Raw genomic sequence first — 25,259 nt, forward strand, 5'->3', positions numbered from 1 at the left:
GTCTAGCCCAGCTGGTCTAATAGAGATGAAACTGCGGAGAGAATTTGACTACACATCTGAGGAGTGCACGCAGCTGCAAGATCATAGGACAGTAGGGTACATTTTTGGATGGCAGTGGAATGTGAGAGGGGGAAACAGTGGAGGGTTTGACAATGCTTAGTGAAGGTGTTTCCACTACTTTTCGATTCTTTTCTTAAGTTACTCAATTCTAAACCATGAGTGTGTTGAGATTCCTTGTGAAAAGCAGCAGAGTGACTCTAGGCAGAAACAAGGTGGTTTCTGATGATGGAGATGCAGAGAAAAACAGGATCCAAAGGCCAGACTTTAGCAGAAATCATGAGGAAACTCTGGATTTGCAGAGGCCCAGGAAATTTTAAGACTAATTTACCTAAATATCCAAAGTCCAGTGAGGTCCCAAATTACAGTTGCATTGTCCATGCGTAGTCATAATTCTGTGTCCTGAACAACGAGGTCTTTGGTGACAGACAAAGACTGTAGAAACCCAGTTTTCCTTATCTTTCTATTTGCAGCAGGTGAAACTACCCTACTCCTCTCTTTAAAACCTACTCCCTCATTACTGGCTCACAAATTCTAACAGTGTCAATTCGTTCTTAGATTTTAAGTTTCTTTTATTATCCACCTTAAAATATATTTAAAATTAGAAAAGCAATAATCATTTCAAACAGGCAAGAAGGTTATAGAAGAAAATTACATTTGGAATCCTCAGAAATAATCACTGTTTAAATTTATTTTGTATCTTTTCGGACATTGACCAAACATAACGTGTGCGTGTGTGTGTGAGATATATTTCTTTAAGCAAAGGTGTTCACATAATTCAAAGGTCTGCAACTTCTTTTTTTCGTTTAACGACACATTTCCATATGAATACAGACATATAGACATCTCTTATTGTGTTTACTGTTTTTGTTGTGAAAAATTTCTTATATATGTAAAAGAACATATAAAATGTATGTGAAAAAAAGTTTTTCCAAGCCTAGTTTTCTATATTCCAATTTTGTTAATTGTCCCCATTATGTGTTTACAGCATTTTGCCCTCAAAGGTATAGAATCCAGTCCAGGATCACATACTGTATTTAGTTTTCATGTCATTTTGTTCAACTTTAATCTGGAATAACTCCTTAGCTTTTCTTGACATAAAGAATTTGATGAACATGGACCAGTTAGTCTATAAATATTCTTCAATCTGGGAATTTTTCGTTTGAGAAGACAAGTTAAAAATTTAGCAAGGGGCACATATTTGGTACCTGAGTAATTAGAAAAAGTGAAAATGGGGAATTGGATTACCAAGTAACAAATTCATAGAACTTAAAATACAGAGTATGCTCATAACGATCCATTACATTGACGCCAAGAACTATCCTGTTTAATGACAAAGAGAAGGCTAACATTTATTGAGTGCCCGTTGTTTGTTAGAAACAGTGATAAAGATTTATTTCCATTATTCCTCCTAGCAACAGAACGAGGCAGCTACTACTGCTTCCATTTTACAATGTAGGAACCTAGGATTGATGTGGTTAATTGACTTTCCCCAGATCACACAGCCAATAAGCGGTGGAGCTGGCCCTCAAATTCATGTTTCCAACTTTCATTTTCCATTAAACTGTGGCCTCTAAAATGCTTTTCCTCTGGCACAGTTGTTATGGGCTGTTAATCCTTGAAACAAACACTACTCAGAATTTTCTGGGAAATAATTGGTCCCAAATACAGTCATTCTCAGCTGCATTTGACTTACCATCAATAGATCATAACTTCTTTTGCCACTTGGCCTCCAAGATAATCTTGTCTGGTAGTTATCCTCATTTCCCTGATCACGATATGTAGGTGGGACCCAGGGTCAACCTTGGATTTCTGCTCTTATGTATTCTCACTTGCTCTTGTTGCTCCCATCTGGTCTCATGGATTTACATATGATCTATGTGCTCACAAGTCCCAGCTTTACCTCAGACTACTCCCTTGAACTCCTGAGTATATCCAAGTGTCAAATAAACATTTCTACTTTGATAGAGGAGAGGCAGCTCAACCTGGCATGTCCAAAAATGAACTCCAAATTCTGTCCACCTCAAATTTGTTTTTCTCATAGTCTTCCTAAGAATATGACAACCCCAATTTTTTAATTGCTCAGTTACAAACTTTTGAGTTACCACTGACTCTTTCTATTACAACCCTCTTTCAATCCATAAGCAGCCCCACCTTAAAAATACATACCCAGAGGTGACCGGGTGCAGTGGCTCATGCCTGTAAGCCCAGCACTTTGGGAGGCCAAGGTGTGAGGACTGCTTGAGCTCAGGAGTTCAAGACCAGGCTGGGCAACATGGTAAAACCCCATCTCTACCAAAAATACAAAAATTATCTGGGTGTGGTGGCACATGCCTGTAGTCCAGGCTACTCAGGAGGCTAAGGTGGCAGGATCACTTGAGCCCAGGAGGTTGAGACTGCAGTGAGCCATGATCACACCACTTCACTACAGCCTATTGAGACCCTGTCTCAAATATATATATATATATCTAATCTCCCACTGTTTTCCCCCTGCTTCTGCCTTTGTGTTATAGAACCAAACTGGGGCCCGCTTGCTTGGCACACTAAGACCAAATATCCACACCGAATTTGCAGCAGTACAAAAAAAGGTGTTTATTTGCAGGGTGCCAAGCAAGGAGGACTAGGCAGCTAATGACCAAATCTTGACCTCCCCCTGGCTTACAGGTAAGAGATTTTAAAGGCACAGGTAAAATTCAAGAAAGCAGAAGTTGTAGGCAAAATTGTAAATCAATACATGGAGCTTATACATTTGTTTTGGCCTAAAAGTGCAAGATACCTTGAAGGGGGAAGGCTTACAGGTCATAGGCCGATTCAAAGATTTTTCTGATTTACAACTGGTAAAGGAAGAGAAATTTTGTTCAAAAATTTGGGATTAACAGAAAAGAATACTAGCTCAGGCTGAGGAGAGTGGGTGATTCCCTCCAGGACCCTCAGGAAGAAATTTAATAACAAAGAACAATGGTCAGAGTTCAGCCTTCAGTTCTCTCTTATCTGAGGTCTACCTGCCAGTGAATCCATTTGAAGCCTGTATTCATCCATTCTCACACCACTATAAAGAACTGCTGGAGACTGGGTGATTTAAAAGAAAAGAGGCTTAACTGACTCACAGTTTCACATGTCTGGCGATGCCTCAGGAAATTTACAATCACAGTGTAAGTCCAAGGGGAAGCAAGTACCTTCTTCACAAGGTGGCAGGAGAGAGAACCACGAAGGAAGAACTTCCGAACACTTATAGAACCATCAGATCTCATGAGAACTCACTCACTATCACAAGAACAGCATGGGGTAACCACCCCCATGGTCCAATCACCCCTCTCCCTCAACAAGTGGGGATTACAATTTGAGATGAGATTTGGGTGGGGACGCAGAGCCAGGCCATATCAGTGGGGGTCCAGGTTTCTGAAAAACAACTCAGGACATCTTTTAAGATGTTATCTTGGCCAGACATAGTGGCTCACACCTGTAATCCCAGCACCTTTGGAGGCCAAGGGGGCAGATGCAGGAGTTCGAGACTAGTCTGGGCAACACAGGGAGACCTTGCCTCTATAAAAAAAATAAAGAAAGTAAGTAAGGAAAAAAAAGATATTATCTTTAGTTTCTATAGGAGAATAAAAATTCTCCTGACTCTAACTTTCTTGGCTATTGTTTTAGGTTACTATTACCTCCTTCCTTATAATGTTGCTTCTTTACTTCCAGGGTTAGCTAGGTGTCTGCCATTTCCCTTCAAAGAACTCAAGGTTTCCTTTTATTTCCATGCTTGGGGGCCAGAGGCCCCTACAAAAGGGTTCCTGCACCATCTTATTTGCTTGTCTTTAATCTGTCCCTACCACAGTTGCCAAAATGATCCAGAAACGTAAGTCAGATCATGTTCTTTGCCTGCTGGTGGCAACTCCTACTCTTTTTGCTGCCCATAGTCCTCCAGACTTGGCCACTTTGCTGTATCTAGAACATGCTAGGCACACTCCTGCCTCACACCTTTGCACGTGCTGCTCTCGCTACCTGGAGTTCTCTTCCTTCAGAAACCCACAGGGCTCACATCTCACCTCTTTCAGGTCACCTCCTTATTGAGGTCTTCCCTGAATACCCTGTGCAAAATGCCCCACCCTCCAAGCACTCTATTCCTCCTTGCTTTATTTTTCTTCCAATCATTTAGCATTATTTAACATACTATATTATACATACAGTGATTTTTAATTTTATTGTACTTTGGTCTGTCTCCCCCTTTAGGATGAAAGGTCCAGACGCAAGAATTTTTATCTGTTCTGTTCAGTGCCGTGTTCCAAGTGCCTAAAACTGCCTGGCACACAGTAGGTGCTCAATAACTATTTGTTAAAAGAATGTACAAATGCCTGAAGGAATTCTTTAGCCAACTCAGCTAATTTTTTTTTTAAAGAACATTCATTTATCAGAGGCAGTTCCAAGTATCTGTCTGTCCAAGTATCAAGCTTAAGAAAGTTTGAACTTCTTTCTTTTGAATAGGCTGAGAATTATATGCAGATACAGATGAATTGCATAATTTCTTATTATAAAAGTAACACAATTATTGTAGGAAATGTGGAAAATGCAGAAAATGAAAATAAAATTAACTTGTAATTCAGCCACCCAGAGACTGGTAATATTTTGGTATGCTTCTTTCCAGACTTATTTAATTTCAATGATATTTTATGTTCAAGTTTCCTTATCCCCATGACAAGGAATGGAACAAACAAACTGAGGACTGTGGTTTCACGCTTCTAGCAAAATACCATCCTCACAGTTCACTAACAGCCACAAGCACTTGCATGGAATTTTTGGGCGTTACTATCTTCCTTTTCCAAGAAAGCATGCAATAATTTGGATATTTAGGTTACCCAAACTTCCACAGAAGGATCTCCTTCTAAAGTGACCTCAGAATTCCCAGAAAACTAAATATTTGGAACTTGAGATATTCAAGTTGATTAATATTATCACAAACTCACTGGACTCAAGGCAGAAGCCTAGGATTCTAGTTCCAGTTCTACAACTTCCTGGCTGTGAAGCATTGGGGAAGTCACCCTTTTGAGCTATGGGTTCCGGAACTGAAAAACGGAGACAATAATATAGCCTAGCTAGTTATTGCAAGGATCAGGTACAGTAATGGATACATGCTTTAATAACGTATGGGGCGGGCGCAGTGGCTCACGCCTGTAATCCCAGCACTTTGGGAGGCCAAGGCAGGCGGATCATGAGGTCAGGAGTTTGAGACCAGCCTGGCCAACATGGTGAAACCCCGTCTCTATTAAAGATACAAAAATTAGCCAGGCGTGGTGGTGCAGGCCTATAATCCCAGCTACTCAGGAGGCTGAGGCTCAAGAATAGCTTGAACCCGGGAGGTGGAGGTTGCAGGGAGCCAAGATGGTGCCACTGCACTCCAGCCTGGGCGACAGAGCGAGACTCTGTCTCAAACAAAACAAAACAAAACAAAACTTACAAACGGCAGCAAAAGTGTAAAAAATAACATTGTAATTTAAATGTGAGAAAAGAAAAATAGCTCAGAGCAGAGAGAGATATGTGAGGTATGAAAAATGTATCAGCCCTACGGAGACCTGGGTATGAGACTTCAGTCATGCCCCTGTCCCAACCTATGTCTGGGGCAATTATTTAAAGGCATTTTTTTTCTGACTAGCTGCCTCACCCATTATCCTCATGCTCCTGGAACATGTGATACAAAGAATATCACAAACAATGTGTAACCAATCAATAGCTTATGTTATTTTAATGTAAATTCTTGGTGAACAACTTAGGAACTGCCTCTTCTTTGCTTGCATTTATTTATTTATTTATTTATTTATTTATTTATTTATTTATATTGAGACAGGGTCTCACTTTGTCATCCAGGCTGGAGTGCAATGGCACCAGCAGTGCTCACTGCAACTACGCCACTGCAACCTCCACCACTCAGGCTGAGGAGATTCTCCCACCTCAGCCTCCGGAAGCTGGGACTACAGGCGTACCACCACACCCAGCTAATTTTTGTATTTTTAGCAGGGACAGGGTTTCGCCATGTTGCCCAGGGTGGTCTCTAACTCCTGAACTCAAATGATACTCCTGCCTCAGCCTCCCAAACCGTTGAGTTTACAGGCGTGAGCTACCATGTCTGGTCTTTTTTCTTTTAAAAACCCACTTATAACTGCTGCTGATTAGAATGTACATTCAGGACAATTTGAATAATTGGCTCAAATAAACCATCTACTTACATTAATTTTGCCTCAGGGTTTTTGTTTTTTAGATAGAGTTGTGTTCTGTCACCCAGGCTGGAGTGCAGTGGCGTGATCTCAGCTCACTGCAACTTCCGCCTCCCGGGTTCAAGCAATTCTCCTGCCTCAGCCTCCCCAGTAGCTGGATTACAGGTTCCTGCCACCAGGGCTGGCTAATTTTTTACTTTTAGTAGAGAGGGTGTTATGGGCGGGTCTTTGTTCTTAGAGCTCCCAAGATGGTGGCAGGCCACGCCCAAGATGGGGCGGCCGCTCCAAAGATGGCGGCAAGCCTTTTGTTCTCTTACCTGGGGTTCTTGGCTTCATGGATTCCAAGGAATGGAACTTTGGGCCATGCGGTGAGTGTTACAGCTCTATTAGAAGCCGTGGGTCACAGAAGAGAACCGTGGAACCTAGAGACCAGTGTTCAGCTCGATTGGGACGAACCTGGGCACTTAGCCGTGCAGAAACAATGGCGAGCCTTTAGCCGGATCGGGAGCAGTAATGGGTGCCTCCATGGACAGCGGACACCCTGCCGGATCCAGAGGGGTGGAAGTCAGCGGCGGGTCTGCGATGTGGGCAAACAACAGTGGTGGACAGTGAGTGAAAGCTCAGCTTGAGCCATAACAAACACGGACCAGAAGAGTATGCAGTTGCAACATTTAATAGAGTGAAAACAGAGCTCCCATACAATGGGAGGGGACCCAAAGGGGGTTGCCCACTCCCTGTTCGAATGCCTGGGTTTATAGTCTGATCATTGTCCCTCCCCCTGCGCTCTCAGGCGATATGTGATTTGACTATTTCTTTACCTCCTGCTTTAGCCTAATTTGTATTTTAGAGAGCCCTCTTTATTACCTGATTGGTTGGGTGTGAGCTGAGTTACAAGCCCCGTGTTCAAAAGTAGGTGTGATCAGCTTTCCCAGCTAGGCTTAGGAATTCTTAGTCGGCCTAGGAATTCCAGCTAGTCCTGTCGCTCCACAGGGTTTTGCCATGTTGGCCAGTCTGGTCTTGAACTTCTAACCTCAGGTGGTCTGCCTGCCTTGGCCTCCCAAAGTGTTGGGATTACAGGTGTGAGCCACTGCACTCAGGTTTTTTTTTTTCTCCTTTAGGTTTCCTTTAGGGCAGTCATGACATATATGGGACATGCCACAACTCTCAACAAGCCAAGGAGAAAGGCTAATCAATCCTAGCAGACTGTCCCATTCTTGCCCTAGAACATTGTCTAATTATGGAAATATGGTCTTCCCACCAGAATATGGATTCCTGAATGAGAGAAAAACTTTCTTCCCTGTTGATGTATCCCTATTACTTATCACAGAAATTCTCAACATAAAAGATTTTTTTTTTTTTTTGAGATGGAGTCTCGCTCTGTCGCCCAGGCTGGAGTGCAATGGCGTGATCTTGGCTTACTGCAACTTCCACCTTCCGGGTTTCAGCGATTCTCCTGCCTCAGCCTTCAGAGTAGCTGGGATTACAGGTGCCTGCCACCAGGCCTGGCTAATTTTTTTTGTATTTTTAGTAGAGACGGGGTTTTACTATGTTGGCCAGGCTGGTCTCGAACTCCTGACCTTGTGATCCACCCGCCTCGGCCTCCGAAAGTGCTGGGATTACACGCCCGGCCACCACGCCCGGCCAACATAAAAGATTTTTTAAATATCAATTTAAAAAATGCCATGCTAAATTTATTAGATGCTGTTGTGAGTGCTTTTATATATGTTAATACAGATACAGCAATATATAGTAGAGAATGCCCAGGTGGAGAGTCAAGAAAACTGTGTCCCCATTCAGTCTGTTGGTAACCAAATATGACATTGGCTAAATCAGTTTCCTCATCTGCTGGATAGGAAGATACCTAAGGTCTCTCCCAGCTCCAAAATTCCATGAACTTTGACCCTTGCAGTGATAAATGCAGTTTCTGATGAAACATTTGTTGAGAAGAGGAATTGAGTCAATCATTAGCTTAATCTACACTCGCCTTTAAAAAATAAGTTTCAGTTCTCTGTGCTGTAGGATAATGTTTGCAATTTATGAAATCATTAACGGTTGTTTACAGTTTAGAGTATAACAATACTCTTTGATGTTTCCTAATTATCATGCAAGTTTTCAAATGAGTTCTGAACCACTTTTCTGCCTAATTAAACCTCATTGAAAATTTTTTGAATTTTAAAGAAACATTTGATTTGCAAAAATAAGTCATATATTCAGTAACTTTTGGTATTTCACAAAGGACCCATAAAACATTTTAACACACGATAAGGTACTGTGAATAAGATATGCCTTGAACTAAATAGGAGAAAATTTGGAAAGTATAATTTTTCAGACTACTCTTTTTGCTCACAAATTCCTGCTGATAGCTTTTTTTCCTGCTATTTTTAACAGCCATTTGCTCTCCTATTTGAAAGTCTATGAAATATCTATAAACCCTAAAAATTAATTAAATTGCTTAGGAAATTGCGAATAAATCATTATGTGGTAATGTCAACTAGTCAAAGTCACCCTAAAAAGTGGTAAATTAAAAATAGAGATGTGTTTTTATACAAGGACAAAGTTAATTCAACATTTATCTCTTCTTACTTATAGCCATTTATTTGAGGATGTGTACTCTGGATAATGTCTTAAAGTTGGTAAGCCTGACTTATACATCATTGGTATACGTAAATTCATGGAAATATACTCTTCACTTCTAAGAATTTATCCTACAGATTTAATTACATAAGTGTGCAAAAGTAGGTGCTCATTTAAACATTATTTATATTAACAAAACACTGAAAATAACTTCTATACACATAAATGGAGCAGGGAATAGACAGATTAAATTAAGGTGCATTCATACAAAACAATAAAATGGAAATGTTAAAAAGATTTATGTACTAATGGAAAATTGTAACTGTCCAACAGGTTCTCCAGTTTGTAACCCCACAACAGGGTCTCTTGCCCACTGCCCAGACAGAGCCGATTTATCAAGACAGGGCAATTGCAATAGAGAAAGAGTTTAATTCACGCAGAGGGGGCTATACGGGAGACTAGAGCTTTATTATTACTCAAATCAGTCTCCCTGAGAATTTGGGGATCAGAGTTTTTCAGGATAATGTGGTAGGTAGGGAGCCGGTGAGTTGGGAGTGCTGATTGGTTGGCACTGAGATGAAATCACAGGGAGAGGAAGCTGCTCTCTTCTGCTGAGTCAGTTCCTGGTGGAAGCCTCGGGACTGGTTGGCAGGTCCATGTGGGGTTGTCCAGTAGTCAGAAATGCAAAAACCTGAAAAGACATCTCGAAAGGCCAATCTTAGGATCTACAATAGCGATGTTATTTTCCAGAGTAATTGGGGAAGTTGCAAATCTTATAACCTCCAAATAATGGCTGGTAATGATTTAGAATTCAGGCCCCTCTCATGCTAACTTGGTGATCTTTTGTTAGTTTTACAAGCACAGTTTAGTTTGAGGGAAGGGCTATTATTTAAACTATAAACTAAATTTCTCCTAAAGTTAGGTTGGCTCATGCCCAGCAATGAGCAAAGACAGGAAACTTGTGAGGCTTGAGACAAGATGGAGTCAGCCATGTCAGATTTCTTTTACTGTTATAATTTCCTCAGTTATAATTTCTGCAAAAGTAGTTTCAAAATAATCTCTAAAATATTTTACCAAGTGTTTACCATAGTGCAAACACTATGTTCCCATTGTAAACAAATGGCTTTTACCTGAATGCGTACATTATCTCTGTAAGGCTATGCAAGGTATCCATAGTGATAGTCACCTCATTTAAATAATTTTTATTTAATATATTTTATCTTTTGAGCAGTTTAGGATTCAAAGCAAAATTGAGAGGAAAGTACAGAGATTTCCCATTTACTCCCTGCCTCTCATACATGCATAACATCCCTATTATAATATCCCCACCAGAGTGGTACATTTGTTACAACTGCTGAGCCTACATTAATATCATTATCACCCAAAGTCAATAGTTTACATTAGGGTTCATTCTTGGTATTATATATTCTATGGGTTTGTACATATTAATAATGACATGTATCCACCATTATTGCATTGTACACAGTATTTTCACTGTCCTAAAAATTCTCTGTGCCCACCTGTTCATCTCTCCCTATCCTCCTGGCCCGTGACAATCACTCATCTTTTAACTGTCTTCATAGTTTTGCATTTTTGAGAATGACATATAGTTGGAATTATATAGTATGTAGGCTTTTCAGATTGACTTCTTTCACTTAGAAATATGCATTTAAGTTTCCTCTGTGTCTTTTCAAGGCTCGATAGCACATTACTTTTTAGCACTGAATAATATTCCATTGTCTAAATGTACCATAGTTTATTCTTTCACCTACTGAAGGGCATCTTGGTTGCTTTCAAGTTTTTACAATTATGAATAAAGTGGCTATAAACATCTGTGTGCAGATTTTTGCATGGACATAGGTTTTCAACTCCTTGGTAAATACCATTGAGTGTGATTGCTGGATCATATGGTAAACCATAGGGTGTTTAGTTTTATAACAACCTGTCTTCCAAAGTGGCCATAACCATCTTGCATTCTTTATTTTATTTATTTTTTGGAGACAGAGTCTTACTCTTACTCTTTTTTTTTTTTTTTTGAGATGGAGTCTCGCTCTGTCACCAGGCTAGAATACAGTGGCATGATCTTGGCTCACTGCAACCTCCGCCTCCAGGGTTCAAGTGAATCTCCTGCCTCAGCCTCCCAAGTAGCTGGGACTACAGGCACACGCTGCTATGCCTGGCTAATTTTTTGTATGTTAGTAGAGACAGGGTTTCACCATGTTGCCCAGGCTGGTCTCGAACTCCTGAGCTCAGGCAATCTGCCCACCTTGGCCTCCCAAAGTGCTAGGATAGCAGGTGTGAGCCACTGCGCCCAGCCAGCCTAACCATCTTGCATTCTAACGAGCAATGAGTAAGAGTTCCTGTTGCTCCATATCCTCACCAGCATTTGGTTTTCAGTGTTTTCAATTTTGACCATTCTAATAGGTGTGTAGTGATATCTCATTGTTGTTGTAATTTGTATTTCCTTGATGACATGATGTGGAAAATCTTTTCATATGCTTATTTGCTATCTGTATTTCATCTTTGGTGAGATGAAGGGTCTGTTATGGCCTTTGACCCATTTTTTAGTCCATTTGTTTATGTTATTACTGATGAATTTCAAGAGTTCTTCATATGTTTTAGATAACAGTTCTTTATATGTCTTTCACAAATATTTTCTCCTACTCTATAACTTGTCTTTTCATTCTCTTGACAGTGTCTTTGCAAGCAGAAATTTTTAAAATTTTAATAAAATTCAGCTTCTCTATTCTTTCTTTTATGGATCATGCTTTTGGTGTTGCATCAAAAAAGTCATCACCAAATCCAAGGAGATCTAGATTTTCTCCTAGGTTATCTTCTAGGAGTCTTATAGTTTTACATTTTACATTTAGATCTGTGATCCATTTTGCGTTAAGTCTTGTGAAGGCTGTATCTAGATTCAATTTTTCATGTATATGTCCATTTGTTCCAGCATCATTTGTTAAAAGACTATCTTTGCTGCATTGTATTGCTTTTACTCCTTTGTCCAAGATCAGTTGACTATAGTTATGTGGGTTTTTCTTCTGGGCTCTCTATCCTGTTCCATTTTGTCTATTATTTTGTCAATACCACACTGTCTGGATTACCGTAGCTTTATAGTAAGTGTTGAAGCCAGTGTCAGTCTTTCAATTTTGCTGCTCTTCAATTTTGTGGCTATTTGGTCTTTTGCTGCTCTACATAAACTTTAGAATTGGTTTGTTAATATCCACAAAATAACCTCCTGGGATTTTAATTGAGATTGTACTGAATCTGTAGATCAAATTGGAAAGAACTGATATTTTCATAATCATTTAGTTTGTTACTAGTAGTAATTATTTAGTTTGTTAATATCCACAAAATAACTTGCTAGGATTTTAATTGAGATTGTATTGAATCTATAGATCAAATGGGAAAGAACTGATATTTTAGTAATACTGAGTCTTCCTATCCATGAACATGGAATATCTTTGCAATTATTTAGTTCTTCTTTGTTTTCATCAGAATTTTGTAGTTCTCTCATCTGTATCTTGTAAATATTATATTAGATTTATATGTAAATAATTCACTTCTGGGGTGCTAATGTATATGGTATTGTGTTTTTAATTTCAGTTTCTATTTGTTCACTGCTGTTATAACATAGCAATCGAATTTTTTTGTATTAATGTTGCATCCTGTAACCTGGTTATAATGGCTTATTAGTTCCAGGAGGTTGTAGGTTGATTCCTTTGGATTTTCTATATGAACAAATCATGTCACCTGTGAAGAAAGAATTTTTATAATTTTCTCTTCAATCTTTGTACTTTTCCACATCTTATTGCATTAGCTAATACTTCTAGTACGATGTTAAAAAGCAGTGGTGAGGCGGGAACATTTTGATCTTAGTGGGAAAGCATTGAGTTTCTCACCATTAAGTATAATGTTAGCTGTAGGGTTTTTTTTATTTTTTAATAAGGTTTTTTACAGATTGTCTGTATCAAGTTGAGGAAGTCCTCCTCTATTCCTAGTTTATTGAATATTTTTGTTATGAATGGGTGTTGAAGTTTGTCAGATGCTTCTTTTGCATCTATTGATATAATCATGTAATTTTTGCCTGTTGATATTTTGGATTATATTAATTGATTTTTGAAAGTTGATCCAGAATTATGTGCCTGGGATAAATCCCACTTGGTCAGGATACATAATTTTTTTATACATTGTTGGATTAAATTTACTATTTTGTTGAGGATTTTGCATCTATTTTCATGAGAGATATCGATCTGTAGTTTTTTGTTTTTGTAATATCTATGTCTGGTTTTGGTTTAGGGCAAACCTGGCCTCATAGAAAGAGTTTGGAAGTATTGCCTCTGCTATTATCTTCTGAAAAAGATTGTCCAAAGTTGGTATAAATTCTTTCTTAAATGTTTTATGGAATTCACCAAAGAACCCATCTGAGACTAGTGCTTTCTGTTTTGGAACATTATTAATTATTAATTTAATTTTTAAAATAAATATCAGCCTATTCAGATTTTATATTTCTTCTTATGTGAGTTTTGGCAGATTGTATCATTCAGGGACTTGGTTTATTTCTTCTAGGTTTTGTGGGCATAGTTGTTTATGGTATTTCTTTATTATCTGTTTAATGTCCATGGAATCTGTAGTGATATCCCCTCTATGAATTACAGTAATTTCTGTCATCTGTTTTTTTTTTCTTAACTTGGGTAGAGGCTTACTAATTTGATATTAGTTACTTGTATTCTGTCTTATTTTTGTTGTTTGTTTGTTTGTTTTTTAGTTAGCCTGGTGAGAGGCTATTTGATTTTATCATCTTTTCAAAGCAAAAGCTTTGGTTTTCTTGGTTTTCTCTATTAATTTCCTGTTCTCAAGTTTATCAATTTTTGCTCTAATTTTTATTCTTCTGCTTACATTGGAATTAATTTGCTCCTCCTTTTCTTTTTTTTCCCACACAATATTACACATAAAGGGTTAATATTATTATTATTTTTTAACATCTTTATGTAAATCTTTATGTGGATCAGCTCTGTGTTTAGCATACATAGATCAAATATTTACAAGTATTTAAATTTTTTTATTATACTTTAAGTTCTAGGGTACATGTGCACACGTGCAGGTTTGTTACATAGGTATACATGTGCCATACTGGTTTGCTGCACCCATCAACTCATCATTTACATTAGGTGATTCTCCTAATGCTATCCCTCCCCCAGCCCCCCATCTCCTGACAGGCCCTGGTGTGTGATGTTCCCCACCCTGTGTCCAAGTGTTCTCATTGTTCAATTCCCACCTATGAGTGAGAACATGCGGTGTTTGGTTTTCTGTCCTTGTGATAGTTTGCTGAGAATGATGGTTTCCAGCTTCATCCATGTCCCTGCAAAGGATATGAACTCATCCTTTTTTATGGCTGCATAGTATTCCATGGTGTATATATTCCACATTTCCTTTTCCAGTTTCCTAAGGTAGAAGCTTGAGCGACTGATGTTAGATCTTCCTTCTTTTCTAATATATGCATTCAATGCTATAAATTTTCCTCTAAGTACTACTTTCACTGCATGCACAAAATTTTGATAATTTGTGTTTTCATTTTCATTTGGTTCAAAGTATTTTTAAACTTTCTCTTGAGTTTTCTTTGACTCGTGTTATTTAGAGTTATGTTGCTTAACTCCAAGTATTTAGGGATTTTTCAGCTTTCTGTTATTAATTTATCATTTAATTCCATTTTGGTATGAGAGCAGACATTGTATGATTTCCATCCTTTTAAATTTGTTAAGATGTGTTTTATGGTCCAGAGTATGGCCTATTTTGGTGAATGTTCCATGTGAGCTTGCAAAAAGTACATTTTGCTGTTGTTGGATGAAATAGCCTATAGATGTTCATTATATGCACTTGATTGATTGTGTTGTTGAATTCAACTATGTTCTTAACTGATTTTCTGCCTGTTGGATCTGTCCATTTCTGATAGAGGAGTGTGGAAGTCTCCAATGATAACAGTGGATTTATCCACTTCTTGCAGTTCTATCGGTTTTTGATGCAAGTATTTTGATGCAATGTTGTCAGGCACATACACATTAAAGATTATTATGTCTTCTTGGAGAATTGACTTCTATAACGTTATGTAATGACCCTCTTTATTCTCGATAGATTTCTGTGACTTGAAGTTTACTCTATCTGAAAGTAATGGAGCTACTCTGCTTTCTTTGGATTACTGTTAGAATGATACATCTTTCTCCATCCATTTTCTTTTAATCTATATGTGTCTTTATATTTAACATGAGTTTATTTATTTTTGTATTTATTATCTTATTTTTAACATTCAAAAAAATTTCAGCCAGGCGCAGTGGCTCATGCCTGTAATCCCAACACTTTGGGAGGCTGAGGCAGGCGGATCACAAGGTCAGGAGATTGAGACCATCCTGGCTAACACGGTGAAACCCTGTCTCTACTAAAACATACAGAAAATTAGCCCTGTGTGGTGGCAGTCACTTATAGTCCCAGCTACTTGGGAGGCTGAGGCAGGAGAATGGCCTGAACCTGGGAGGTGGAGCTTGCAGTGAGCCGAGATCGCGCCACTGCACTCCCGCCTGGGTGACAGAGCGAGACTCTGGGAAAAATAATAATAATAATAATAATTCAACAGCTTTTGGGATACACATGGTTTTTGATTACATAAATAAATTGTGTAGTTGTGAAGTCTGAGATTTTAGTGCACCTATCACCCAAGTAGTGTACATCGTACCCCATATGTTGTTTTCTTATCCCTCACGCCCCTGCCACCCTCTCCTCTTCTGAATCTTCAATGACCATTATACCACTCTGTATACCTTTTTGTACCCATAGCTCAGCTCTTACTTAAAACTGGGAACATATAGTATTTGGTTTTTCATTCCTGAGTTACATCACTTAGCATATGACCTCCAGCTCTATCCAAGTTGCTCCAAAGACATTATTTTGTTCTTTTTATGGCTGAGTATTATTCTATGGTGATGCATATACACCACATTTTCTTTATCTACTCATCAGTTGATGTGCACTCAGGTTGGTTCTAAATTTTTGCAATTGTGAATTGTCTGTGTTAAATATACATATGCAGGTGTCTTTTTGATGTAATGAGTCCTATTCCTTTGTTTGGATACCCAGTAATGGGATTGCTGGATTGAATGGTAGATCTACTTTTAGTTTCTTTGAGAAATCTTCGTACTGTTTTCCATAGACGTTGTACTAATTTGCATTCCCACTAACAGTGTATAGGTGTTCCCTTTTCACTGCCTTCATGCCAACATCTATCATAACTTAATAAAGTGAGTTTCTTGTAGACAACATATAGTCGAATCTTGTTTCTTGATTCACTTTGACAATCTCTGTCTTTTAATTAGTATATTCAGGCGATTAATGTTTGAAGTGATTATTGATATAGTTGAATTAATATCCACCATATTTGTTAGTATTTCCTATATGTTGGCTTTGTTCTTTGTTTCTATTTTGTCTTCCACTCTTCTTCTGCCTTTTATGGTTTTAATTGAGCATTTTGTATAATCCCACTTTCTTTCCTTTATTAGCATATTAGTTATACTTCTTTTTTTTTTTTAACTTTTTTTAGTGGTTGCCCTCAAGTCTGTAATATGAATTTACAACTAAATGTGTATTTATATCTCCAAGCCTACTTTCAAATAACACTCTACAGCTTCTCTGATTGTGTAAGTGCTTTATAATAACAAAATAATCCTAATTCTTTCCTCCCTTCCCTTGTATCATTGCTGTCATTCATTTTGCTTTTACATGAGTATAATAAAGATATGTGTATATATATGCAGAAGTATACATAATTGAAGACATTTTTGCTATTATTATTTGAGAAAATTCTTATCTGTTAGATCAATTAAAAATAAGAAAAATAAAAGTTTTTATTTTACCTTCACTTGTTTCTTTTCCAATGCTTTTTTTCTTTGTGTAGATCGAGTTTCTGACATTTATCATTTTCTTCCTTCCTTCCTTCCTTCCTTCTTTCCTTCTTTCTTAAATTGAGACAGAATCTCACTATGTTGCCCAGGCTAGTCTTGAACTCCTGAGCTGAAGCAATTCTCCTACCTCAGCCCCACGAAGTACTGGGATAACAGGTGTGAGCCACCATGCCAAGCCTGTTTTATTTTTAAGAATTACTGTTGGGCCAGGCACAGTGGCTCATGCCTGTAATCCCAGCACTTTGGGAGGCTGAGGCGGGTGGGTCACGTGGTCAGGAGATCAAGACCCTTCTGGCTAACATGGTGAAACCCTGTCTCTACTAAAAACACAAAAAGTTAGCAACACTTGGTGGCAGGCACCTGTAGTCCCAGCTATTCAGGAGGCCGAGGCAGGAGAATGGTGCGAACCCAGGAGGCAGAGCTTGCAGTGAGCTGAGATCATGCCACTGCACTCCAGCCTGGGCGACAGAGGTAGACTCTGTCTCAAAAAAAAAAAAAAAAAGAATTACTTTTGGCCGGGTGTGGTGGCCATGCCTGTAATCCTAGCACTCTGAGAGGCTGAGGCAGGTGGATCACCTGAGGTCAAGAGTTTGACACCAGCCTGGCTAACGTGGTGAAACCCCATCTCTACTAAAAAAAATACACAAAAAAATTAGCCGGGCATGGTGGCCCACACGTGTAATCCCAGCTACTTGGGAGGCTGAGGCAGGAGAATCACTTGAACCTGGGAGCCAGAGGTTGCAGTGAGCTGAGATGGCCCCACTGTACTCCTAGGCAACAGAGTGAGACTGTCTCAAAAAACAAAAAAAAAAGAATTACTTTTAGCATTTCTTGCAAAGCAGATCTACTGGCAATAAATTCCCTCTGTTTTTGATTGTTTGAGAAAGTCTTTATTTCCCCCTTCACTTCTGGAGAATAATTTCACAGAATACAGTTGGTAGTTTTTTCTCTCAACATTTTAAATATCTACCTTCACTCTCTTCTGTTTTTTTTTTTTTTTTTGGTATTTGAGGAAAAGTTGGATGGAATTCTATTTTCTCCTCCATAAGTAATGATTTTCCCTTGTGCTTCTTTCTTTCAGTATTTTTTCTTTATCTTTGATTTTCTGTAGTTTAAAATGATGTGCCTATTTGTTTTTTTTTTTTGTTTGTTTTGTATTTTTCTTTCCTTTTTCTTTTGCATTTATTCTACTTGGTGTTCCCTGGGCTTCCAGATTTGTGGTTTTGTATCTGATATTAATTTGGGGGAAATTCTTAGTCGTCTGTTCTTCTGTTTTTTCTTTCTTCTCCCTGTAATCCCATTAGATGTATTTACACCTCTTATAGTTGTCCCACAGTTCTTGGATATTTTATTTTGGGTTTTTTTTTCCAGTATGTTTTCTGTTTGCTTTTATGTTTTGGAGGTCTATTGAGATATCCTCAAGTGCAGAGATTCTTTCCTCAGCTGTGTTCATTCTACTAATCAGTCCACCAAAGGTATTCTTCATTTCAGTTACAGTGTTTTTATTCTCTAGTATTTCTTTTTGATTTCCTTCACAGCATTGCTGTCTCTGCTTACACAATCCATCTGTTCTTGTTCTTGTATACTGTTTACTTTGTCCGTTAGAGTCCTTAGCATATTAATCCCTGCTGTTTTGAATTCCTGGTCTGATACTTCCAACATCCTTGCCATATCTGAGTCTGGCTCTGATACTTTCTCTGTCCTTTTTTTTTTTTTTTTTGCTTTTTAGTATGTTTTGTAATTATTTCTTGATAGCTGTACATAATGTATTGAATAAAAGGAATTTCTGTAAATAGGCCTCTAGTAACATGGTGCTAAGGTCTTGGAGGAAGGGAGGCATTGTATAGTCAGTCCCATGATTAAATCTCAGCCCTCTGAATTATGAACTTCACACATGCCTCTTAGCCCCCACCAGTGATGCTCCCCAGCCCAGATCAGTTAGGCTCTGATAAAAACCCCAGCAAGTTAGGCTCTGGTTAAATGGTTTCTCCTGAGGGCAGGGCTTTTTTTTTTTTTTTTAGATAGGGTTTTACTCTGTTGCCCAGGCTGGAGTGTAGTAGTGCAATTATGGCTCACTGCAACCTTGACCTCCTGGGCTCAAATGATATTCTCACCTCAGCCTTCCAAGTTACTGGGACTACAGGTGCTTGTCACCATGTGCAACTAATTTTTTATTTTTTGTAGAGATGAGATCTTTCTCTATTGCCCAAGCTGGTCTTGATCTCCTAGGCTCAAGCAATCCTCCCACCTTGGCCTTCCAAAGTGCTGGAATTATAGATGTGAGCCACTGCGACTGGCCAGATAGGTCTTATTGAGAACAGAACACAATGACTTATTCCACAGTGGTTTATTGTCCCCTGCTCTTGCCAGAAACATAAATGGATTTTTCTTTACTATTCATTATGAAAACTTAATAGAGCTCCAAGAGATAAAACTTACAAAAGTTCAAGTGCCCTCTGATGATTGAATCCCTCTGGAGTCTTTATCTCTCAGATATGTCCACACTAAGCCTCCAGCAATTTGCCAATTAAAGTTTAGATTTTTCTACCATGGTGCCGGTTCCCATGGAAGTTTCAGCTCATGAGTTTCTCCTCCAGTAAGTTGTGATTTTCTGTTTTACCTGTTGGTTTCTCCAACTTGAGAGGCAGTGGTTCTCCCTGTGACCTCATTTTCTTATAGATCTAAGAATTGTTGATTTTTCAATTTGTTCATATTTTTGTTTGCTGTTATTAGAAAAGCAATTTTCAAGCTTCTTACATGCTGGACTGAAAACTGACTTGCTTCATTTTCAAAATTATGAGTACAGATTGCTATTTCAATAAGTAATTAATTTTTAAAATTTGACTGTTTCTCATTAGATCATATTATCAATAAGTATTTCTGGAGCCTTAATTGGTGTACCAGATAATATGGTTTGAAAGACTTGATTTTTATCACCAAAGACCTTATAATCTGGTTTAGGAATGATTGATTTATCCTAAGCGTTAGATTCTAATATAAATTTAGTGCATTAAAATGCTTAGGAAACTCTGATTTGCATTTTAGTCAGTAAAAATATATCACCCACATGAAAAGATATTGCATTTAAGTACTTTTATTGTACTTTAAATAATAGAACAAAGATTTTTACCTGTAAGCAAATTGTAATATAAGATCATTAAGTTATGAAAATAACTCAGTATCATGACATCATGTACCATTTGTAATAAATAAGTACATAATAGAACAGGAGTAGCAGTGTTTGACAAGGAGATAATATACATGGTAATTGATTGATGTCTAGATAGAATAAGTATTTCAGCCAAGTAAAACAAAATAGCCACACTTAGCTAACTTGTCAGTCAGAAAGTTTGGAAACCTTGGTTAAAGTGATATTTTATGGCTTTTTCAGATACATGCCAATTTACAAGTAAATTTCAGTCATTGGTTGTTCTGGATTATAATTTTACATATTTTAACTTTCCTCTGGTTTTATTTATTTATTTATTTATTTATTTTTAGATGGAGTCTCTCTCTGTCGCCCCTGCGGAAGTGCAGTGGCGCCATCTTGGCTCACTGCAAGCTCCGCCTGCCGGGTTCACGCCATTCTCCTGCCTCAGCCTCCCGAGTAGCTGGGACTACATGCATCCGCCACCACGCCCGGCTAATTTTTTGCATTTTTTTTAGTAGAGACAGGGTTTCACAGTGTTAGCCAGGATGGTCTCGATCTCCTGACCTCGTGATCTGCCCGCCTTGGCCTCCCAAAGTGCCGGGATTACAGGCGTGAGCCACCGCACTTGGCCTAACCTTTCCTGTTTTTATTGATGACATATAAGGGACTATTATTACAAATAAAAGACATAAGAAAGATACAAATCAGGCCAAGAGTGGTGGCTCACGCCTTAATCCCAGCACTTTGGGAGGCTGAGGCGGGTGGATCACCTGAAGTCAGGAGTTCGAGACCAGTCTGACCAACATGGTGAAACCCTGTCACTACTAAAAATGCAAAAATTAGCTGGGCGTGGTGGCAGGCGCCTGTAATCCCAGCTAATCGGGAGGCTGAGGCAGGAGAATCCCTTGAACCAGGGAGGCAGAGGTTGCAGTGAGTCAAGATTGTGCCATTGTATTCCAGCCTGAGTGACAGAGTGAGACCCTGTCTCAAAATAGTAATAATAATAATAATAAAATAGAAAAAAGAGAAAAAGAAATATACAAATCAAAATGTAGAAACTATCCCCAAGGAAACCAAAAAAAAATTTAAATTCAGAATTTGGGAAAAGTAATGACTCTGGAATGGTAAATGTAGATTATGTCTTATATTTATCAAGGCAATTATATTTTTTATTATTTTAAATTTTTTTATTTGAAAATTTATTTTTATTTTTGTTATTTTTTTTTTAGATAGTCTTGCTCAGTTGCCCAGGCTAGAGTGCAGTGGTGTGATCATGGCTCACTGCAGCCTTGAACTCCTGGGCTCAAGTTATCCTCCCACCTCAGCTTCCTTAGTTGCTGGGACTACAAGTGCAGGCCATGCCTGGCTTCTATGGTATATTTTTTATTATGATTAAAATATTTAAAAATAATAGCGCCTCCATATGTGTGTACATACTCATAGATATTATTTGCTATTGGTAGAAGTCATTGTGGTTAGCACCCCAACATCTATTTCATCCTAGATCATTAATCTAAGTCAATCATGAAAATTCCATCCCCTTTACCAGTGATTGGTTCAGAAATGGGCATGTGACATAATTCTACTTGATGAGGTATAAAGGGCTATCTGCTGGAATACATCAGGGAGTTTCCCTGCTCCTAAGAGAAAATTGAAGAAAAGATGCTTTTTCTTCTTGAGTTTGCTATTTCTTGTCTGAATATGAGTTCTAGAACTGATGCATCTCTTGTTATCAGCAAGAAGCTGATCTCAAGAGTGAATGGTGGAAAAATGGAGTCTTTGATAAATGTCATTGGGCTGCTGAATCAATCTAACTTGAAGACTGTTGCATTCTTACTCTATAATAGGGCAGGGTAGGTTATGTTTATTCTGCTAAATAACAAACACTCCCTATATCTCAGTAGCTTAAACTAACAAAAGACGTAATTTTTGCTCATACTACATGTCCATCATGGGTCAGCAGGGACCTGTTTTCAATGTCTTCTTTACTGAGGGATGCAAGCTGATGGCTCCTCCTTCATTTGAAATGTTCCCTTTTGGATACTGTGGCAAGCAAATGGGAACATGATAAATTGTGCATCAGCCTGTAAAGGCTTCTACCTGGAAGCGATGAACATTACTTTTGCTTACATTTCATCATGCAAAGCAATTAATATAGCTATCTCTAACCTAAAAGGGGTGGGGAGGAGCATTTTTGCCATGTGTGTGGAAGGGAAGAAGCAGTCAATGTATATCAAAAGGACCACAAATAAAGATATAAAGAACTAAAAGAAACATAGTTAATAGGATAGATAAGGTATATATACACATGTATTTCTCAAAATTTGTACTCCAAAAATATAAAATATATCTTTTTAGTTGCTTTCTCCATATATACAAAAAAGTAACTGTTATGTCAGTTAAAAAACTCAATAAACTCCAAAATGTAGAAATAATACAACCAACATTATGTAATACAATGACTAAAATTATAAAGTACAAATTAATTCATGAAAAAATTTAAGTTCACTTTTAAACAACTGGGTTAACAAAGAAAGACAAACTAGTATCACAGAACTTCTATAAAAGAACAATAAGGGGAATAGTAAATATCCATATATATGGAATAGAACTAAAGCAACATTTAGAGGAAAATTCAATAGCTCTAAATAATTTTCTTAGAATTCAAAAAGTGAAAAACTAATAAAGTTTTAGCATCTGGATGAAAAAGATTAAAATTAAGCAAAGCAAATGGAAGAATTTAATAACAAAATAGTGATTTACAACATAGAAATATAATGCTAATAACTAAATATAAAACGTTCCTTAAAACAACAATAAAATAGATAAAACACTAAGTCAACTAATCAAAAAAGCAACAAAAAACCCAAATAAATAAAAGAAGAAATGATCATAGGGAAATAAAGACAGAAACAGGAAATTAAAAGAATCATGAGAACTTCACTCAGCTCTGTGAAAATATATTTGGCAATCTGAATGAGAAGAGTAACTTTTTGTTTTTTCTTTTTTTGAGACAGGGTTTGGCTTTGTTACCCAGGCTGGAGTGCAGTGGCTCAATCTTGGCTCACTGCACCCTCCACCTCCTGGGCTCAAGCGATCCTCCCACCTCAGCCTCCCAAGTAGCTGAGACCACAGGCACCAGCCACCGTGTCTGGCTAATTTTTGTATTTTCCATAGAGACGGGATTTTGTATGTTGCCCAGGCTTGTCTCCAACTCCTAGATCAAGTGATCCTCCCGCCTTGGCCTCGCAAAGTGTTGGGATCACAGGTATAGCCATGGCATCTGGCCAACGATAACTTTTAGCTAGGAAAATATAACATATCCACACTGAAATCAGAAAAGATATAGACAAATCTAAACAAAATGATCCCCTTAGAAGAAACAGAGAAAATTAATAAAGAAAAGCTTTAGGCCCATTTGTTTCTATGGAAAGTTATACCAAGTCTTCAAAGGGAAGACAATATTAGTGCTATTTAGACAGCCCACAGCATTTAAAAAAGTACTATTCCAAATTATTTTTATTGGCATGAAGATGACATTGATTCCAAATTCTGACATATTGTTTTAAAGAAAAGACCTACAGATCAATTTGACGTGTAGATATTGATACTAAACTCCTAAATAAGTTCTAGGAACAAATTTTAAGATTCAAGTGTCATTAGCAGGGGAATTCATTTCATGAATCAATGACACTTCTATATTAAAAAATTATTAAATTGGAAGAACTAATGAGAAAAATCACACCATCATCTCCATAAATGCTGAACAGGCACCTGCCAAAACTCAGCAATCATTTTTGACAAAACACTCAATTAAATAGCAATATATGAATACTTTTTTTAACCATGATATAAATGTATATTTCAGCCCAAAAGCCAGCATCATGATTAAGGGGAAACATTCCACTGAAGTCAGGAAGAACTGATCTCCATCACTATTCTAGTGTAACTTTGTAATGGAGGTAATAGTGCAATCAAATAGGACAGTTGAAAATTTGGAAAGGAAGAGATGAAACATCCATCAACACAAAAACTGATAAATCTTGGAATATCTGTTCAAATGAATACTATATGGCAGTAAATATAGAGGGATTACTGCTGCATACATTTATATGGCTGAATCTCAAAACTACAAGGTTGTACAACAGCAACAATAAGTAATATATAGAAAAATGCATATGGTATTATTCTATTTATATAAGTATCTAAACAAATGAAACTATAGTGTTAGGTAGTAAAAGCATGTAGTTCTGCAAAGGAATAGTTAGCTCAAATTTCAGCATAGTAGTTACTTCCAGGGGCAGTGATGGGGAGGAGATTTATATGGAGCCCTCAGGATCTTCTAGGGGTACTGATAATATTATATTTCTTAAGCTGGGTGATGGATGCACAGGTCTTTATTTTATTGTTATTCTTTAAGCTACACATTGATAATACATTCTTTTTTGCCCCCTAGGATTGTGGATTTCTTATTTCATGAGCTGGACACAATTTCTCATGACATTATGCACCTGGCTCCAATGCTGCTATTATTATAATGTACTCTTTATGTATGATATTTTCACAATTAAACAAAATCATTTTTGATATTTTTGCTTGTGATTAAAATAGAACTTATATTGATCATGTGTGTGTTTGGTGGTTTAGTATTTCGACATCTCAAATGTCAAAATAATGAAGAAATCGTCACATGTGTACTTTGAATATGCCTGGAAGACATGCCGACATCAACATAAAAGGATTTTTTTCTTTTTTTGAGACAGGGTCTTACTCTGTCACCCAGGCTGGAGTGCAGTGGCACAATCCCAAATCATTGCAACGTCTGCCTCTCAGACTCGAGCGATTCTCCTGCCTCAGCCTCCTTAGTAGCTGGGACTACAGGTGTGCACCACCATGCCCGGCTAATTTTTGTACTTTTTGTAGAGACAGGGTTTCATCATGTTGCCCAGGCTGCTCTCAAACTCCTGGACTCAAGCAATCTGCCTGCCTTGGCCTCCCAAAATGCTGGAAGAACTCTCTTTCAAAAAAATAAAAATACCACTAACACATCTATAAAAGTAATAATTCATCCAGTCAATTGCCAAAGTTCTAATTTTCTCTTAAATGTAATAAATACGCTTTAAAAAAGTAATGTTAAATAAGAATCTAAGTAGAATTTTACATATTGCAATTGATTGGCATATCTTTTAAATCTCTTTCTCTTTTTTTTTTTTTTTTTTTTTGAGACAGAGTCTTGCTCTGTTGCCCAGGTTGGAATGTAGTGGCATGATTGTGGCTCACTGCAGCTTTGACCTTCTGGGCTCAGGTGATCTGTGCATACCACCA

The 25,259-nt window shown here is 37.8% G+C and overlaps 2 long non-coding RNA genes across 2 annotated transcripts in view, besides 1 other annotated feature; both read left to right on the forward strand.

Moving 5' to 3' along the window:
• Positions 2,856–3,434: an enhancer, noted in NCBI's record as "NANOG hESC enhancer chr7:95984044-95984622 (GRCh37/hg19 assembly coordinates)". NCBI's record gives its function as "activates a minimal SCP1, AML or CMV promoter by ChIP-STARR-seq in naive H9 embryonic stem cells {active_cell/tissue: H9 hESC(naive)}" and the evidence as "EXISTENCE:reporter gene assay evidence [ECO:0000049][PMID:30033119]".
• LOC105375410 (uncharacterized) overlaps positions 6,626–25,259 on the forward strand; it is an 86,586-nt gene continuing 67,952 nt past the window's right edge. Inside the window, exon 1 of the long non-coding RNA XR_001745288.2 lies at positions 6,626–6,868. This is a non-coding gene — a long non-coding RNA (uncharacterized LOC105375410). The remainder of the gene's footprint in view (positions 6,869–25,259) is intronic.
• LOC124901702 (uncharacterized) lies at positions 21,232–24,558 on the forward strand. The gene is made up of 2 exons (XR_007060442.1): positions 21,232–21,308; positions 24,391–24,558. It is a non-coding gene; the product is annotated as an uncharacterized LOC124901702 (long non-coding RNA).

Source organism: Homo sapiens, chromosome 7 (assembly GCF_000001405.40).
Source record: "Homo sapiens chromosome 7, GRCh38.p14 Primary Assembly".
Taxonomy (NCBI): Eukaryota; Metazoa; Chordata; class Mammalia; order Primates; family Hominidae; genus Homo; species Homo sapiens.